Genomic DNA, 19849 nt, shown 5'->3' on the forward strand with positions numbered 1-19849 from the left:
AGTACTTTATAATTCCTAAATGCATGGATAACGTTATGAAAATAATAACACATTAAATACTGAGCACTCTAATAAAGCAAGTAGAACTAAAGCATACTGATCACATTTGTAAGTGACTCAATATTGCCTGTTATTATTAAATGATTATATATTATTAAAGATGAACAAATTAAGACTTAGAGAGGGTTCTTGATTTGCTTCAGGTCATACAGCTAATTATTGGCAAAACTGCAGAGAGAACTTAAATTTCCTAACTCTGAAATCAGGTTCTTTTCCACCATGGTTCACTGCCTCTTGAAGCCTATGTAGCATATTAAATGAAAGCCTTTAAAAATTTGACTACATCATACTGTCCTTGAGAATCATGTCATGCTTAATAAATTCAAAATGAACAGGAAGTACATTTGCATTTTTGGCTTCAAAAATTAGAAAGTTAATACAAGTATGTGAATACTTTCAAAATTATGACTTGTTCTTACTAACATATAGGTAGAAGATGTATATGTGTGTGTGTTATATAATATCCGTATGTTTCACAATGAGAGAGAAACATGTAAAGACAAATAAGAGTATTTTTTGAAGTTTAAATTAGATGACTGACCAGTTAACAGGCCATGTGCTCTTATTTATGATAGCCTTTATTTCTTAATTTATTTGAGCAATCGAAGTCTGAAAGAGCTCAAGACTGGATGCTTCCTTTCTATAAATTACATCTCTTAAAATGTACAAATGCAAGCATGAGTCACTAGCTACAGAATTCCAGCTTTAATACATTATGTCATTTTTATAAGGAAACCAGTGACCTTCATGTGGTTTTTAAGGACAATGTCTCTGTGAACTACAGACTATGTGAAAGATGAAATCATAACATGAACAATCAAACAAGCTCAATGGCATGATCTAAAAGATAAAAAAAACATGCATTTCATAGATTGAAATCTGCTTACCTCTGTGATTATTTTTCCATGATTCATTTGCATGTGTGCCTTGCATATATTGTATTGATTTGAAATTAAATTGAAACATTCACATATGTTACAATCACATTTTAAATAGTTAACTTTCACTGAGGTGTGCACAAAGGAATGGTGATGAGAAGGAAAGTACATAGCCCACAGCAATCCTGAATGTATATTTTGATAGGTAGTTTGAATTTTCTATTTACTCAAACTTATGTCAGTAATGTTTAAACTATAGTATTACTGAAGTTGTTATTTATATATACCATTCCATCTAGTAAATATAGAGCAGAATCTCGGAGATAGGAGGAAGTCCAAGAAAGAAATCACGGACACTTCTAATGAAAAGGAAAGAGAAAGGGAAAGGAATCAACAAATATTGAGCCCTAACCATATCCTACTCAGTGCGTGTTGCAAAGTACATATATTATCTCATGTCATTCTCACAACAACTGTAAGAAAAAGGAAATGGAAACAGAGACAGGTTAAGTCATGTGCCCAAACACACAGCTAATAAGGCGTTGAGCCAAGATTCAAACCCATATCTGTCTAATTACAAAGGTTGTGTGCTCTTTTTCCATAGTACCTTGATTAACAGCCTTAAGGTTTAAAAATATGCCAAATACTCATGCACAACAACATGCTCTCAGTATAACATTTACTTAATCATTTTTCATTTACAATGTTTTCAAGGAACTAAATGGAAGACAAGTCAGGAGACATCAATCATATATCGCCTTCTACAAATCAGGAATGTGTGTATTTTCAAATATCTCAGTTTGTTTTTAGAGGTGAAGGATAGCTATTTACTAATAGTAATAAAGATGGAAAAAGTATGCAAAATGCTATCTAATAATAATAATTGGTAATGAAATAGGAAAATAAAAGGTGAATCACAATATTTAAAAAATATTAAAAATATTTTAAAATATCACCTTAAGAATCACATTTACTGGGAAATAAAAGGCAGTTATAATAACACAGGAAACATTTTGACTGCATATTCCATGAAATTACTACTGTCTTTATACTTTTGTAGCATAATAAGTGATTCTATTTTAATCTAATTTCATATATAATAGTAATATATTTTCATAATTTAACGAGTTCAAATCTAAACATGGCACTTGCATTTTAAATGCAAAGTATATGTAAGATCCAATTTTAAAGATCCATTTTATGTATTCTTTAAAATGTTTTCTTCCATCATACAACTTCAGATCGACAATATATTTTGTATTGAATTGTTTTCTTTAATTTTTACAGTGAAACTTGTCATTTCAAGTTTAGTAAATATTATGACTTGATTTTTAAATAAAAATAAAGCATACCAAACACATCTACCTGCTATCTAAGAGTATTTTAAGAATCAGTTTCCAAATACTATTCAGAGCAAAACCTATAGAATATCCAGAAACTGTCACTAGTTTTTTACTCATTTCTGAATTCATTAGCTTTTAAACTCTTTCTTTTTTTTTAGGAAAATCACCAGTGGTCTATATGCTGGTACAATTTAAGCAAGAAGACAGTTGAGAGGAAGAGATAGGCTTGCAAATCAAGGTACAGAATTGCCCCAGATAACTTTTTTCATGTGCGTCCCTGTGAAGAGACCACCAAACAGGCTTTGTGTGAGCAACATGGCTGTTTATTTCACCTGGGTGCAGGTGGGCTGAGTCCGAAAAGAGAGTCAGTGAAGGGAGATGAGGGTGGGGCTGTTTTATAGGATTTGGGTAGGTAAAGGAAAATTACAGTCAAAGGGGGTTTGTTCTCTGGCGGGCAGGAGTGGGGGTCGCAAGGTGCTCAGTGGGGGTGCTTTTTGAGCCAGGATGAGCCAGGAAAAGGACTTTCACAAGGTAATGTTATCACTTAAGGCAAGGACCGGCCGTTTACACTTCTTTTGTGGTGGAATGTCATCAGTTAAGGTGGGGTAGGGCATTTTCACTTCTTTTGTGATTCTTCAGTTACTTCAGGCCATCTGGATGTATACATGCAAGTCACAGGGGATGCGATGGCTTGGCTTGGGCTCAGAGGCCTGACATTCCTGCCTTCTTATATTAATAAGAAAAATAAAACAAAATAGTGTTGAAGTGTTGGGGCGGCGAAAATTTTGGGGGGGTGGTATGGAGAGAGAGAATGGGCGATGTTTCTCAGGGCTGCTTCAAGCAGGATTAGGGGCGGCGTGGGAACCTAGAGTGGGAGGGATTAAGCTGAAGGGAGGTCTTGTGGTAAGGGGTGATATTGTGGGGATGTTAGAAGAAACATTTGTCGTATAGAATGATTGGTGATGGCCTGGATATGGTTTTGGATGAATTGAAAAACTAAATGGAATAACAGAAGGAGAAAAACAGGTATAAAAGGTCTAAGAATTGGGACAACTCAGGATATCTGATTAGAGAGTGCTTAAGGAGATTTGGCATAGTCCTGCCAGCAAAGATTATTTATTTACTTCAAGAGTTAAGAGTGGCAGTTTGGGGATAGCACCAGGAGATATCAGCTGTGATGGCTTCGAGAAACAGTGTAAACCGGCAGTGTAAACAAGAGCAGGGCATGTATGAGTAGTTGAGAACGGTGAATAGGAGTATGACTAGACAGAAGATAGTAGGGATGACAAGTTTTTTTTTGGGGGGGCACAGTCTAAGTTGGTCTGGTGTCTGGAATGAGACTGGGGCCTAATAAAAAGGAGCGTCTATACAGGAGCTTAAATGGGCTGTACCCTGTAGCATTCCGAGGACAGGCCTGAATTCTGAGAAGGGAAAGTGGTAAAAGTATTGTCCAGTCCTTTTTAAGTTGGTGGCTGAGCTTGGTGAGGTGTGTTTTTAAAAGACCTTTAGTCCATTCTACTTTTCTTGAAGACGGAGGACCATAAGGGATATAAAGGTTTCACTGAATACTAAGAGCCCGAAAAACTGCTTGGCTGATTTGACTAATAAAACTCATCTGTTATCAGACTGTATTGAGGTGGGAAAGCTAAACTGAGGAATTATGTCTGACAGAAGGGAAGAAATGACTGTGGTGGCCTTCCCAGACCCTGTAGGAAAGGCCTTTACTTATTCAGTGAAAGTATCTACCTAGACTAAGAGGTATTTTAGTTATCTGACTCAGGGCTTGTTGAGTAAAGCTAATTTGCCAGTCCTGGGTGGGGCAAATCCTCGAGCTTGATGTGTAGGGAAGGCAGGGGGCCTGAATAATCCCTGAGGAGTAGTAGAATAGCAGATGGAACACTGAGAAGTTATTTCCTTGAGGATAGATTTCCTCGATGGAAAGGAAATGAGAGGTTCTAAGAGGCGGGCTAGTGGCTTGTACTATAGCATAACCTGCCTTTGCTGGTGTGTGGCGATTAGGCCTGGTGGAACCGCCATCAATAAATCAAGCGTGATCAGGGTGAGGAACAGGAAAGAAGGAAATTTGGGGAAATGGGGTGAATGTCAGGTGGATCAGAGAGATACAGTCATGGGGGTCAGGTGTGGTATCAGGAATAATGTGGGAGGCCGGATTGAAGTCTGGGCCAGGAACAATGGTAATTGTGGGAGACTCAACAAAGAGTGAGTATAGCTGAAGGAGCCGGGAAGCAGAAAGTATATGCGTCAGGTATGAGGAAGAAAATAGATTTTGGAAGTTATGAGAACTGTAGAGAGAGATTTGACATAGTTTGTGATTTTGAGGGCCTCTAAAAGTATTAAAGCAGCAGCAGCAGCCGCTGCATGCAGACATGAGGGCTAGGCTAAAACAGTAAGGTCAAGTTGTTTGGACAGAAAGGCTACAGGGTGTGGTCCTGGCTCTTGTGTAAGAATTCTGACCACTCGAACCATGCCTAGGAAGGAAAGGAGTTGTTGTTTTGTAGAAGGTGCTGGGGTTTGAGAGATCATTCGGACACGATTGGCAGAGGGAGCACGTGTGTTTTTATGAGAATTATGCCGAGATAGGTAACAGATGAGGAAGAAATTTGGGCTTGATTGAAGTAATGGGGGCTGTCTGTGAAGCTTTGCGGCAGTACAGCCTAGGTAATTTGCTGAGCTTGATGGGTGTCAGAGTCAGTCTAAGTGAAAGTGAAGAGAGGCTGGGATGAAGGGTGCAAAGGAATAGTAAAGAAAGCATGTTTGAGATCCAGAACAGAATAATGGGTTGTAGAGGCAGGTATTGAAGATAGGAGAGTATATGGGTTTGGCACCAAGGGGTGGATAGGCAAAACAATTTGGTTGATAAGGCGCAGATCCTGAACTAACTTGTAAGGCTTGTCTGGTTTTAGGACAGGTAAAATGGGGGAATTGTAAGGAGAGTTTATAGGCTTTAAAAGGCCATGCTGTAGCAGGCGAGTGATAACAGGCTTTAATCTTTTTAAGGCGTGCTGCGGGATGGGATATTGGCGTTGAGTGGGGTAAGAGTGATTAGGTTTTAATGAGATGGTAAGGGGTGCATGATCGGTCGCCAAGGAGGGAGTAGAGGTATCTTATACTTGTGGGTTAAGGTGGGGGGATACAAGAGGAGGACGCAAAGGAGGCTTTGGATTGGGAAGAAGGGCGGCAATGAGATTTAGCTGTAGTCCAGGAATAGTCAGGGAAGCAGGTAATTTAGTTAAAGTGTCTCAGCCTAATAAGGGAACTGGGCAGGTGGGGATAACTAAAAAGGAGTGTTTAAAAGGGTATTGTCTAAGTTGGCACCAGAGTTGGGGAGTTTTAAGAGGTTTAGAAGCCTGGCCGTCAATACCCACAACAGTTATGGAGGCAAGGGAAACAGGCCCTTGAAAAGAAGGTAATGTGGAGTGGGTAGCCTCCGTATTGATTAAGAAGGTAATCACTTACCTTCCACTGTGAGAGTTACCCGAAGCTCGGCATCTGTGATGGTCTAGGGGGCTTCCGAGGCGATCGGGCAGTGTCAGTCTTCAGCCGCTAATCCGAGAAGATCTGGGAAGGAGTCAGTCAGAGAGCCTTGGGCCAGAGTTCCAGGGGCTCTGGGAATGGCTGCCAGGTGAGTTAAACAGTCCGATTTTCAGTGGGGTCCCACACAGATGGGACACGGCTTAGGAGGAATCCTGGGCTGCGGGCATTCCTTGGCCTGGTGGTCAGATTTCTGGCACGTGTAGCAAGCTCCTGTGGGAGGAGGTTCTGGAGGAATGCCTGGCCGCTGCGGTTCAGGCGTTTGGAAGTTCTTGTGTGCTGGAGATGTGGCTGGGGTTTGTCTCAGAGTGGAGGCAAGGAATTGCAACTTTTTTCTATTATTGTACACCTTGAAGGCGAGGTTAATTAAATCCTGTTGTGGGGTTTGAGGGCCGGAATTTAATTTTTGGAGTTTTATTTAATGTCAGGAGCAGATTGGGTAATAAAATGTACTTTGAGAATAAGATGGCCTTTTGACCTTTTAGGGTCTAGGGCTGTAAAGCGTCTCAGGGTTGCTGCCAAACAAGTCATGAACTGGGCTGGATTTTTATATTTGATGAAAAAGAGCCTAAACGCTATCTGATTTGGGATAAAGAAAAAGGAGCATTAACCTTGACTATGCCTTTAGCTCCAGCCACCTTTTTAAGAGTAAATTGCTGGGCAGGAGGGGGAGGGCTAGTCATGGAACGAAACTGTAAGCCGGACCAGGTGTGAGGAGGGGAGGTGATAAAAAGATTATAGGGTGGAGGAGCAGAGGCTGAGGAAGAATTGGGACCTAGCTCGGCATGGCGAGGAGCAGCCTGGGGAGGAAGGGAGAGGTCAGATGGGTCTGTAGAAAAGGAAGATTAGACAGACTCAGCAATGCTTGGGGTTGGTACTGAGGGGACAGGCGGGAGGGAAAGAAGGAAGATTTGGGACGAGTTGCACTGGGCACAGAGACTAGGAAGGGACTGACGTGTAAAAGAATGCCTGGACGTCAGGCACCTCAGACCATTTGCCTATTTTATGACAAGAATTATTTAGATTTTGCAGGATGGAAAAATTCAAAGTGCCATTTTCTGGCTATTTGGAACTACTGTCGAGTTGGTATTGGGGTGAAGCGGCATTGCAGAAGAAAATAAGGCATTTAGGTTTTAGGTCAGGTGTGAGTTGAAGAGGTTTTAAGTTTTTGAGAACACAGGCCAAGGGAGTAGAAGGAGGAATGGAGGGTGGAAGGTTGCCCATAGTGAAGGAAGCAAGCCTAGAGAAAAGAGAGTAGAGAAATGGAGGAAAGGGGTTCAGGGGTTCTTACCTTCCAGAAAAGTGGGAAAAGGGGTTGGGGCACAGAGATAAGAGGTTGGGGGGCAGAAATAAGGGATTGGGGCGCAGAGAAATAAGAGGTTGGGGCACGGAAATAAGGGACTGGGGCACAGAGATACGAGGTTGGGGTGCAGAAATAAGGGATTGGGGCACAGTGATAAGAGGTCAGGGTGCAGAAATAAGGGATTGGGGCACAGAGATAAGAGGTTGGGGCACAGAAATAAGGGATTGGGGTGCAGAGATAAGAGGTTGGGGCATGGAAGTAAGGGATTGGGGGTTCTTGCCCCATAGAAAAGCGGGACTTGCCACTAAGGGTGAAGGAGAAGGGGTTGGGGTACTTAACCCTCTCCCAGAAAAGCGGGACTTGCCGCTAAGGGTGAAGGAGAAGGGCTTGAGGGGTACTTGCCCCTCTCCCAGAAAAGCAGAGAAGGGGTAGAGACAAGGAGAGAAGGGGTTGAGCTACTTGCCCCTTCCCCAGAAAAGCGGGACTTGCCGCTTAAGGTGAAGGATCAAGGCAGGCGTCCCTGCGTGGTCTGACACCCTTGAAACGTGGGTGTATAATCAGAGAGGCGTCCCTGCAACGATTAAACACCAAGGGAAGGCTGCCTTCCCAGTCCGTGACCGGCGCCGGAGTTTTGGGTCCACGGATAAAACATGTCTCCTTTGTCTCTCCCAGAAAATGAAAGGAATTGAAATTAAGAGAAGGGAGAGATTGAAGAGTGGAAAGGAGAAAGTGGTTGATGGACAGTGAGAGAGGTTGGAGAAGAGAGTAAGAAGAGGCCGTTTACCTGATTTAAAATTGGTGAGATGTTCCTTGGGCTGGTCGGTCTGAGGACATGAGGTCATAGGTGGATCTTTCTCACGGAGCAAAGAGCAGGAGGACAGGGGATTGATCTCCCAAGGGAGGTACCCCGATCCAAGTCACAGCACCAAATTTCATGTGTGTCCGTGTGAAGAGACCACTAAACAGGCTTCGTGTGAGCAACATGGCTGTTATTTCACCTGGGTGCAAGTGGGCTGAGTCCGAAAAGAGAGTCAGTGAAGGGAGATGAGGGTGGGGCCGTTTTATAGGATTTGGGTAGGTAAAGGAAAATTACAGTCAAAGGGGGTTTGTTCTCTGGCGGGCAGGAGTGGGGGTCGCAAGGTGCTCAGTGGGGGTGCTTTTGAGCCAGGATGATCCAGGAAAAGGACTTTCACAAGGTAATGTTATCACTTAAGGCAAGGACCGGCCATTTACACTTCTTTTGTGGTGGAATGTCATCAGTTAAGGTGGGGCAGGGCATATTCACTTCTTTTGTGATTCTTCAGTTACTTCAGGCCATCTGGGCATATACGTGCAAGTCACAGGGGATGCAATGGCTTGGCTTGGGCTCAGAGGCCTGACAACTTTTAATTAATATCAACTGTGAGTAGAGAAGTTAAAATGAAATATCAAACACAATGTTTGACCATGATAAAGAAGGTGTGGAGTTTCTTCTTCTTGGCCATTTATTGGATACTTAAAGACTTGACATTTTCCTCACCAAAGAAGTCACTAGGACCTATGGTACAACGTTAAGATCAATGATGAAAAAGAGTCATCCTCAATGGAAGAGTATGCATCATTCTGATTATACACAAGCATTGATTATTTGCTGATGTGAGAAAGGGTCAAGATAAAAATTGATCTTTGAATGTATCTTATTCAATTTTTTAATATTTCATAGTGCTTCAGTTGTTTGGCACATTTGTCATATCTTTAATTTTTTTTGATGTCCTGCTCCACCCTTCCATATCACTATAAAATGTTAATACATTTTTCATACACATGCAGAGCATCAGGTTTTAGGATTATTTTTAAATTAAAATCTGAGGCCAGGTGCAGTGGCTCACATCTATAATCCCAGCCCTTTGGGAGGCCAAGGTGGGTGGATCACCTGAGATCAGGAGTTCAAGACCAGCCTGGCCAACTTGGTGAAACCCCATTTCTACTAAAAATAAATTAGCTGGGCATGGTGGTGCGTGCCTGTAATCCCAGCTACTCAGGAGGCTGAGGCAGGAGAATTGCTGGAACCGGGAGGTGGAGGCTGCAATGAGCCAAGATGATACCACTGCACTCCAACCTGGGCAACAGAAAGAAACTCCACCTCAAAAAAAACAAAATCTAGCCTTTCATGAATCTTACATGTATAAAATGTTTACACTTTTATTATGTAAAAGTAATGTATTCCCCCAATGGATTTTATAACAATACAGTCAGTCCCTCTTGCAAAGGGGACTTTTTCATAACTCCCCTACTGTTTCATTAAAATTGAGGTTTAATTTGATCCTGTGTTCTCACATTTAAAAATCTATATTTTTAAGATCTGCTTTTTCCTTCGAAGTAATGGCTTTAACTCCGAATCACTTTTAACAGTTTTATTGACCTGTAATTCACATACTATCCAATTTGCCTATTTTAATGTGTAGAATTCAGTGGTTTTTAGTATACTCAGAGTTGTATAATCATCATCACAATTTAGAATATTTCCATCACCCCCCAAAGTAATCCTATACCCATTTACAATCACTCCACATACTTCTTCAACCCCCAGCACTAGGCAACCAGTAATCCTTTTTATCTCTGTAGATTTGCTTATTCTGAGAACCTGCAAACTTTTAAGGGATGTACTTGCTGGGAATGTCAGAGAAGTTGTTTGAGATTAAGAAGGGTTGGCAAACAAAATAAAATTTGTTGTTAGATTTAGGCAATAGGGTCTTGATTTATTTGGCTAAGTTCTTAATTTTTTCACACTTCTGAAATGAAAGTAATAAAATTTTGTCTCTGAGCTTCTGTCATCCTTACTTTTGCTATTCAATTTTATTTTAGTATGGCAAAATAAATAAAAAGGAAGTCATCCTCCAAGTACTCCTCTTAACAATAAATTGATTCAGAAAAACTAAGTTTCAAACTCAGGAAGGTTAAATTTCTAGTCCATTTCTTTCATTTTTTTTCCATTCTGTCCAATCAAGATTTGTCAAACAAAACTATCCTTTCCAGAGAAGAGGCATTTACCTCAAAAAAACTTTTGTGTACGTGGTATTTGCAGTTGAATGTCATAAGAAGCAATTGATTGAAGTGTGCCATCTGTTTCTTTTCTAAATCTCTAATATGCAAGACACGTCTTTAAAATTACACTTATTCAGAGGATTTTTATGAAATAAAATTGCCTGTCATTCTAATTAGCTCTGAATACTTCTCTTGCAACAGTGGTGTGGCATAACACATTAGTAGGAACTTTGGTTGGTATGTATTTTGGCCACTAACATCACTAATAAAAAAACAGTAAATAAAATCGGAATATAGAAACTGGGGCTTTCTACATAAAATCTGATTTTTTTATTAGTATTTAATATGCTTCCCATTAAAACAATAAATCTGATATGTATTATTTAATATACTTCCCATTAAACAATACATTTCATAATACCTAATAAAATAAGAAAATAGATCCTATTAATTACATCCTCAAATACATATTTTAATATTTTTCTGAAATATATATGCTCTTTACACACTAGAATATAATCGTTTTCGTTATCTGCATTGTGCTAAATGTGAAGTGATGGGCGATGCACCATTTTGTATTTAAAAGATTTCTCCTATGGTTTTTTTCTGTTGTAATTACTCTTTTGGTTGACCACGTTCGGTTGGACTTCTGACCATTGTTCCAAGCATCCACTCCATTACTCTATTTGACATGACACAGTGAGTTTAAAGGACAGTATCGTGTTAGACAAAGATTGAAGTTTTAAATAATACATGATAACTTGAAGGGAAAGTTAAGAAAATTTAAATAAATAAAGAGGATGAGGCAAGGGGATATGTATGTATGCTTTAAATAGTCTATAAATAAGACTCAGTGAAAGATGAAAATATCGTTTTGAACAAAGAAAGGGTGGAAGATATAGAAAACGAGCAGAGCATACTGTATGGTTCCATTTACATAAACTTCCAGAACTGGCAAAAATAATCTACAGTGATAGAAGTCAAAAAGTAGTTGCCTGGAGCTTGGAAGGTGGTGACTACAAAGAAGCAGGAGGATGGAATTGTTTTATGTTTTCATCACAGTGGCAATTACACGGGTGTAAACATTCATCAAAAGTGGTCAAACTCTACATTTAAAATATGCACATATTAGTATATGTAAATTATACTCATTAAGGTGGATTCCTTAAAAAGTCAAAGTAGGCAGTAAAGGGTACCATTCAGTCCCTCTGTGGTCCTGCTTTAATACTGAATGGAAGACAACCTCCTTCTTTTTAAATGAGCATGAATATCCATGAATATCGAAAAGAGTGCATTAAGCTCTTTGTAATGACTGCATTTCCTCATCCTGCTCAGGACTGACTACTGGCATTTTAATGCACGGTAATGTGGGCATTTCTTTGATAGACATTCCACTTTAAATGCCTACTTTTTCCATATTATTTCAACTGAAGGAGAAATAAGGCAGCAACCTTATCTATTAAATCTTCACAGGGTTCTTATGACTTTTAAAGCATCATTTTGAATTGAAGCTACTATTTTATATTATCTTTTCTCAGGGTGGGCTGAAAACAAAATAGCAATAATTTTTGTAGGAAAAGTAGGTTAAAGTCTGTCTTGAATAATCACAAAATCACACTTAATGTCACCTCATAAATCAGTTATAAATAGTGTCAGAGGTAATAGAATTGCACATGCGAAATTTAAAAATATTCTGTGCACAATTTTTGTAGAATGGAATGGCATGGTGTTTGGATTAATATGTACGGCAAGGTTATGGTCAGGCACATCTATGTTTTCTATCTAGAGTCACTCGCCTACAAAGGGAAAAAAATCAGTCACTGTGGAAATTTAAAAAATAATACTTTGGTAGGATGGAGAGAAACTTGAAATGACAGAGCGTTAATCATAAAATGTATCTCAAATTTATGTATAATTAGCTGAGAGGAAAAAAATTGGAAAGGAGAGTGTATGATAGATGCAAAATGTTAATATAAAGAATGTCGTGATCAGGAGGAAGGGAAGAAGCAAGTGAGCCTCAAGAGAAAAAAATTTGACTTCACTCAAAGTACTTCATATTTTTGCAAAATTAATTAAAATTTTAGAAATCGACACTAAAACGTTAGAGACCTCAGAAAACACTCTCAGTTGATAGGTCTTGGAGAAATTTTTTTAAAGAATATCTGATTGGATAATTTTTAATGACGGAGCAGTAATGTTTTAGTGTTAAATATCTCAATCTTCCCCTAAGGGGGAAAAAAAACGCAAAAATAAATTCTTCGTGAATAAATGGCATAATTACAATCATAGCACACATTGTTCTGTCTGCAATAGTCACAATTCGCCACTAGGGGGCTGTAATTCTGTTCTTAGCAGTTCTTGGTCCACAACATTTTCATTCCCTCCCAGGGTACTTGAACAGTTAGGTGAAGTTAAGTGGGAGCTTCGACGGGCATAACAGGTCATTAATGTGTATTGAGATGATCTCATGCGTTTCTGCGATGCGATGTATAATTCTTGTTGTATAGAATAATAACTTGGCCACCAGCTTCTTCACCAAGCATGGAGTCTCATCATTGCTCCAAGATTGCTATTAATTTTGTACGTATTACGTAGAATCATTTTATCTTCCTTTTTCCCAGGAAATTATTTTTATTTACTATAAGTCTCCTACTTTTTCATGAAAATTGAAGGTTAATGTGATCATGTGTTCTTGCATAGTCATTTCAATAAATCTGTGCTGTAAAAGAGACAAAAAATGTTGGTTCAAATTTATAAATACTAAATGTATTTTCTGAAGTGTAGATTAAAACAGCAAAGTTGTGGTTTTTTTTAGTTTTTTTCTTTTTTTGAGACGGAGTCTCGCTCTGTCGCCCAGGCTGGAGTGCAGTGGCGCGATCTCGGCTCACTGCAAACTCCGCCTCCCGGGTTCACGTCATTCTCCTGCCTCAGCCTCCCGAGTAGCTGAGACTATAGGCGCCCGCCACCACGCCCGGCTATTTTTTTGTATTTTTAGTAGAGACTGGGTTTCACCGTGTTAGCCAGGATGGTCTCGATCTCCTGACCTCGTGATCCTCCTGCCTTGGCCTCCCAAAGTGCTGGGATTACAGGTGTGAGCCACCGTGCCTGGCCCAAAGTTTTAATCCAAGTTATTTTTCACTCATTTGAAGTTAGAACTATTTTTTACTTTCATAAGGAATGAAAAATATAATTTGTTGGTGTAGTACATTGTATCTTGCATGATGTAAGGGGTAGTCACATTAAATTATTTAAATGCGGCTATAACATTTATTGAATATTTTATATTATACTTCAAATATGTTAATTTATGTTGATAAATTTATGAGCTAACAAAAGATCTTGTCCTCAATATAATAATTAACATTTCCTATGTATTTCTCATAACTTTGATGATCTTTACATCACTCAATTTTACTTACTAGGCTGAGTGCAAGAGTTAGCTTTATATTTTTAAAAATAATCCCTGCATTTAAAACTTTTTTTGATCATGCTTTATGTGTTTGGGGAAATTTTTGATGTTTAAAACATGTCAAATATTAATGTCCTTGCACCAAATTTATTTGTCCTACTGCAAAAATATAGCTGGCTAATATTTATTTCAGTCTTGTTTTTGCATTCCAGAATAAATATTGGCAACTGATGCTCTTACAATAATTGATACAGAAATGGTGATTTTCAAATGTTGTTTCCTCTTCCAGCGTCTAATATTGTTTTAGTATCTGTGGATGAAATACTATTTACTCTTGCTCTGTAATTGTTCTATGTGAAATGTTTCAACTTGACATTTGACTTAGAATTTTGCTGATTCATTTAGAATTCTTAACTAATATTTAATTTCCTCTTTAGCAGAAGGACGAACACTGACTTACCTGCTATAGGAATGGGGTCCGGATCCAGACCCCAAGAGAGGGTTCTTGGATCTTGCACAAGAAATAATTCAGGGCAAGTCTGTAAAGTGAAAGCAAGGTTATCAGGAAAGTAAAGGAATAAAAGAATGGCTACTTCATAGAGCAGCCCTGAGGGCTGCTGATTGTTTTTTATTTTATTTTATTTTATTTTATTTTTTTTTTGAGACAGAGTCTTGCTCTGTCACCCAGGCTGGAGTGCAGCGGCCGATCTCGGCTCACTGCAACTTCCGCCTCCCGGGTTCAAGCAATTCTCCCTGCCTCAGCCTCCTGAGCAGCTGGAATTACAGGTGCCCACCATCATGCCAGGCTAATTTTTGTATTTTTTAGTAGAGACGGGGTTTGATCATGTTGGCCAGGCTCGTCTTGAACCCCTGACCTCAAGTGATCCGCCCACCTCGGCCTCCCAAAGTGCTGGGATTACAGGCATGAGCCACTGCGCCCTGCCCTGGTTGCCCATTTTTATGGTTATTTACTGATGATATGTAAAACAAGGGGTGGATTATTCATGCTTCCCCTTTTTAGACCATGTAAGGTTACTTCCTGATGTTGCCATGGCATTTGTAAACTGTCATGGCGCTGGTGAGAGTGTAGCAGTGAGGACGACCAGAGGTCACTCTCATGGCCATCTTGGTTTTGGTGGGTTTTAGCTGGGTTCTGTACTGCAACCTGTTTTATTAACAAGGTCTTCATGATCTGTATCTTGTGCTGACCTCCTATCTCATCCTGTGACTTAGAATGCCTCAACTGTCTGGGAATGCAGCCCAATAGGTCTCAGCCTCATTTTACCCAGCCTCTATTCACGATGGAGTTGCTCTGGTTCAAACGCCTCTTACATACCTGCTGTACTAATATTTTGCTGTTTTAAATTCATTTTATATAAATGAGACTTCTTTCTTCTGAAGCTTATAGGTATCAGCCTTACTACTTTTCAGCCATTCATTATATGTGAATGGTATACCTACTCTGTGTGGCACCTTACTTATGGAGTTCTTACTGCATTTTTCTCAATGTTTGCTTTTAGGGTTATCAGCTAACACCCGCGAGCATCTATAACATAGGCCAACTGACGCCATCCTTCAAAAACAACTGTAAGTATACACATAAGCGTGCCTCAAGACTCTTATTTTGAAATAATATTCAACTATTATATCAAGGTGATTCCTATTATTTTGCTAGTGTAGACCTACCCCTGAACTAGTAAAACATATGCCATTAAGGGCCTAACATGTTTGAAAAAGAATATTATGTAATTGGTAAACAGCATTTTAATGCAACCTGAAAAAAAAAAACTCGGCTTATTTTATTACTAAGTAATGTGTGATGCAGACCCCTTACCGAACTGTTAACCACCACCGCAGATTTATAGTAAATAAGTATAAAGTATGATAGTATAAATTGGGACAATTAGGTTAGCGAAGTTCAATTTTCTTCTTCAATGACAAACTCTTGTTTTTTTTTTGTTTTTTTGTTTTGTTTTGTTTTCTTGAGATGGAGTCTCATTCTGTTGCCCAGGCTGGAGTGCAGTGGTGCAATCTTGGCTCACTGCAACCTCCGCCTCCTGGGGTCAAGTGATTCTCCTGCCTCAGCCTCTGGGTAGCTAGGATTACAGGTGCATGCCACCACACCAGGCTAATTTTTGTATTTTTAGTAGAGACAGGGTTTCACCATGTTGGCCAAGCTGGTCTCGAACTCCTGACCTCAGGTGATCCGCCCACCTCGACCTCCCAAAGTGCTGGGATTACAGGCGTGAACCACCTAGCCCAGCCTGCTTTCAGTAACAAACTCTTATATCCATGATTGGGGTGTAGGAAATCTAGCTGTTGTTTTCTATGATAAATTTTAGAAAACATAGCTAGCTCTTCAAAATACTCTCAATGGATGCACTTAAAAATCTCAGCAGGAGAGGCAGGGAGAGGAGAATTTTGTTTCTCAAAAGGGAGTATCATTTATAAATGCTGAAAAACGCAGATCCAGATAATGGAACACTCTACATTCTATAGATGTCTAGAGCATGATTATTTGATTGGGTAAATATATTACAAGTTAAACAAGGTGAATTTAAATTGGATTCCTTATTTTCGACTCCAGACTGCATGGGGAATTCTCAATTAAATTTCTGATTGTTCTCATAATCATACAAATATTTAATACCACAAAATGTTTTTAGAATGATAGTTTTGGAGGAAGAACTGATACGATGGTATAGACTAAATCATTTTTGACAGTAAAATTTTAACAGAAATTTTTAGTATAACATTAATATATACGCATTAGATTAAAGAAGTGAAAAGTCGAAGTCTATCAAAATTCGAAAGAGGATAGGGATGGAATAAGGTTGGGAATGTCTGCTGCACATGTTAATAATGATCAAAAATAAAAGAAATAAGAAAACAGTGATTTGACATCAAGACAGTTGCATCAAAATGGCTGCATTAAAATGTACCCTTTTTCAGAATAGCCAATTGTTCTGTTTTATTCAACTACTCACCATTTAAGATGATGGCAAAGGTAACTTTCTTTAATACATATTGAAAAGAGTTCTTGATGCTATCAACAGCTTTCCAGAGGGGAAAAAATAAAAAAAAATTTCATAAGGGACGTTCAAAAAGTATAAAATGTAAAATTTTGAAGAACCCCCACAGCAGTCCTGAAAGCACACAGGAAATCACTCATTCTGTTTGTGAAGATTCAAGTTTGCTTGCAGATGTTTTCAATGCGTTGGTGAAATAGGTTAACCTGGACATGCAGGTAAGTTTCTACTCTCAGGCTTCAAACAATGTTCACACAAGACTATCTCACATATATCATTGGCATGGTAAGCCTCGCCTGGTAGTAAAGACCAAGGTCAGCCTTACTAGAATGTGAAGTTCGCCAATTTCATCTTTACTGTCTTCCTTTCAATGCTATTCTGTCCTTACCATGTTGTTTTTCGACCTCTATGTGCCAAATATTCACAACTCCATAGTGAGTACTCCTTGCTTCTCTCCCAGGCCTGTGCACCCCTCTTTGTACACACACCTGTTGACACTTTGCTCTTATCTAGGTATTAATTAGAGAAGATTTGATATACAAATTCATCATAATGTGGCAATATCTTACAAGTCCTACCCCATCTAGAGGGAGGCATGGTTTAACATGTGGTTCCTATAACTGAATCCCTTGATGAGCTGAAGGGGAAAATATGCCTCAAATCTCATCATGTAGGTATGTAAGGCCTTTGCCTACTTCACTTCTCTGTAAGGCTGCCTTTGTCAGGGTATATCAGTGACATGAAAAAGATATGTACAATATATTTATTATAGAAGGTTGGAGCTTGATTATTTATGGTAAATAATGTTGGTGTTGTTAAATATATTAATTCTTACTGTAAATAGAAGAGTACCAAGAGTTTTATTGTAATGTGTATACATCTACAGCCTGATATTCTTTGGGTTGTTTTTTTTTTAATCTCTGGGTCCTTGGTGATTTCTATGGCTATTTTATTTTTATTTTTATTTATTTATTCATTTTTGAGATGAAGTCTCGCTCTGTTGCCCAGGCTGGAGTGCAGTGGCATGATCTTGACTCACTGCAACCTCTGCCTGCCGGGTTCAAGCAATTCTCCTGCCTCAGCCTCTTGGGTAGCTGGGATTACAGGTGCCCACCACCACACCCACCTAATTTTTGTATTTTTAGTAGAGACAGGGTTTCACCATGTTGGTCAGGCTGGTCTTGATCTCCTGACCTCAAGTGATCCAACAGCCTCGGCCTCCCAAATTGTTGGAATTACAGGCATAAGCCACCGCGCCCAGCATTTTAAGCTATATAATTCAATAAATCTTAAAAAGAAATTTGTCTCCACTATCATTTGAACTTAGTAATACCTTCCGTAAAGCCTTACTTATGCTACCTATTCTACTGTGCTATAGATGTATGTATATATTTATATCACAGTCAAAGTAACAATTTAGGTAATGTATTCAATGTCTCCTGTGAAAATAATCAGTTGGACAACTGTGCTCCTCCTGAGTTGTATAAGGTTTGTGATATCAGTAAGTATCAAAGGTAAACATTATTTTTTTCTGTAAAACCGCATCAACATTTCAAGTTATTCACAGAAAAGGTTAATGTAATGAGGAAATAGTATGCATACATTGGTTCTACATTGTCAAAACATGATTTATAATCGTCACTCTCTTGACACTTATATTAACAATTTAGGAATTTTTATCTTTCAATTATGTGGTCTTGTGTTACTATAAATAAATGCAAGTTCAATTAACAGAATCTGTTTTCAATATGAGTTCTCTGATACAGAACTGAGTTATCTATTGCAAAGTTCTTTACTCTAGGTTACCAAATTACTTCAAGAAAAACATAAATAGGCTGGGCATGGTGGCTCATGCCTGTAATCCCAGCAGTTTGAAAAGTCAAGGTGAGAGGATCACTTGAGCCCAGGAGTTCATGACCAGTCTGGGCAATATAGTGAGACTCCCATCTCTACAAAAAATTTAAAAATTAGCCAGGCATGATGGTGCAAACCTGTAGTTCTAGCTATTCAGGAGGCTGAAGTGGGAGAATTGCTTGAGCCCAGGAAGTCAAGGCTGCAGTGAGCTGTGATCACACCACTACATTCCACCTTGGGTGACAAAGCAAGATCCTGTCTCAAAAAGAAAAAAAAGAAAGAAAAACAGAAATACAGAAATAGACCATAACAAATAGCAAATGTTGCTTACATTGATAGACAATTCCATCATTTCACTTTGCAGTTTGTTGTAGTTATCTGTTTTATTCACAAATATTTTAATTTCACATCTTTGATTTAAAAATGAAATATATTTTACTACTCACTAGCTCTTCATTTGATTGATGTAAATAATATATAATCAAATGCCTGTATCAACAAGTCAAACATATTCTGTAAATATATACACCTGCTATGTACCCACAAAAACTAAAAATTAAAAAATAATTTATGAAAGGAGCAGAGAATTGAGTGTGTTAAGTAACAATAATTTGTTCTATATATAGCACATGTATTTTATATCACTTACAGGAACTAACATGAAGTCTTGCACATAATATACATTCAATAATATATTCAATAATTAGTTTAATAATAACTATCAATATTATGACAAAATAACAGCATTTCTAGAAGAGAGGTACTCAATCAGGAATGCATTTTAGTAAATGAACATACACATTTAAAGCACAGGAAAACCTGAACTTTATAAGATATTTCCACATTCTGTGCAGTTTTTGCTTTTGTTAATCAAAAATTTAAATGATCCTTTATAATTATCAGTTGAAGTCAAAACACATGGAATTAACTAAGTACTTAAAGAACTGATTATCGTAATTAATAATCTAACTTAGCCAACTGATAACTGTTAAAACTATCTGCCACACATATTTTTCACTCAATAGTCTGTGCCAAAATTCAACAAGACTAACAACATAGTTTAGCATGCATCCTTTCTAAGATACTGCAACTTTTGTGAAATAAGTGAAAGTTACCTCGTTTTGGAAAGGAAAGTAGCCAAATGGTTATCAAGGTGGTTTCAAAGTTACATGTTCATCCATATTAGATAATAACAGTAAAATAATTTTATATGTATGTTTTCTGGTTTTCAACATATGTCTTTCAAAAATCGGATTGACTTTTTAAATTATACATTTTCAAAACATTAATATCTTCTTAAATATAAAATATAGGTATAACTTAAGTAACTGTACCAAGTAAATTAATACATGTCTTATAAGAGGATATTATGCTTAAAGAGTTTATGACACAAGAAT

The 19849-nt window shown here is 38.3% G+C and overlaps 1 protein-coding gene across 3 annotated transcripts in view, besides 2 other annotated features; it reads left to right on the forward strand.

The window, feature by feature from the left end:
- HTR2C (5-hydroxytryptamine receptor 2C) overlaps positions 1–19849 on the forward strand; it is a 325976-nt gene that overhangs the window by 14640 nt on the left and 291487 nt on the right. For all 3 annotated transcript variants that reach the window (NM_001256760.3, NM_000868.4, NM_001256761.3), the window contains exon 2: positions 15090–15156. The gene's annotated coding sequence lies outside the window, so the exon portion shown is untranslated. The remainder of the gene's footprint in view (positions 1–15089; positions 15157–19849) is intronic.
- Positions 2298–2913: an enhancer, noted in NCBI's record as "OCT4-NANOG-H3K27ac hESC enhancer chrX:113835484-113836099 (GRCh37/hg19 assembly coordinates)". NCBI's record gives its function as "activates a minimal SCP1, AML or CMV promoter by ChIP-STARR-seq in naive and primed H9 embryonic stem cells {active_cell/tissue: H9 hESC(naive and primed)}" and the evidence as "EXISTENCE:reporter gene assay evidence [ECO:0000049][PMID:30033119]".
- Positions 8038–8923: an enhancer, noted in NCBI's record as "OCT4-NANOG-H3K27ac hESC enhancer chrX:113841219-113842104 (GRCh37/hg19 assembly coordinates)". NCBI's record gives its function as "activates a minimal SCP1, AML or CMV promoter by ChIP-STARR-seq in naive H9 embryonic stem cells {active_cell/tissue: H9 hESC(naive)}" and the evidence as "EXISTENCE:reporter gene assay evidence [ECO:0000049][PMID:30033119]".

The sequence above is a fragment of the Homo sapiens genome, chromosome X (genome assembly GCF_000001405.40).
Source record: "Homo sapiens chromosome X, GRCh38.p14 Primary Assembly".
Classification (NCBI taxonomy): domain Eukaryota; kingdom Metazoa; phylum Chordata; class Mammalia; order Primates; family Hominidae; genus Homo; species Homo sapiens.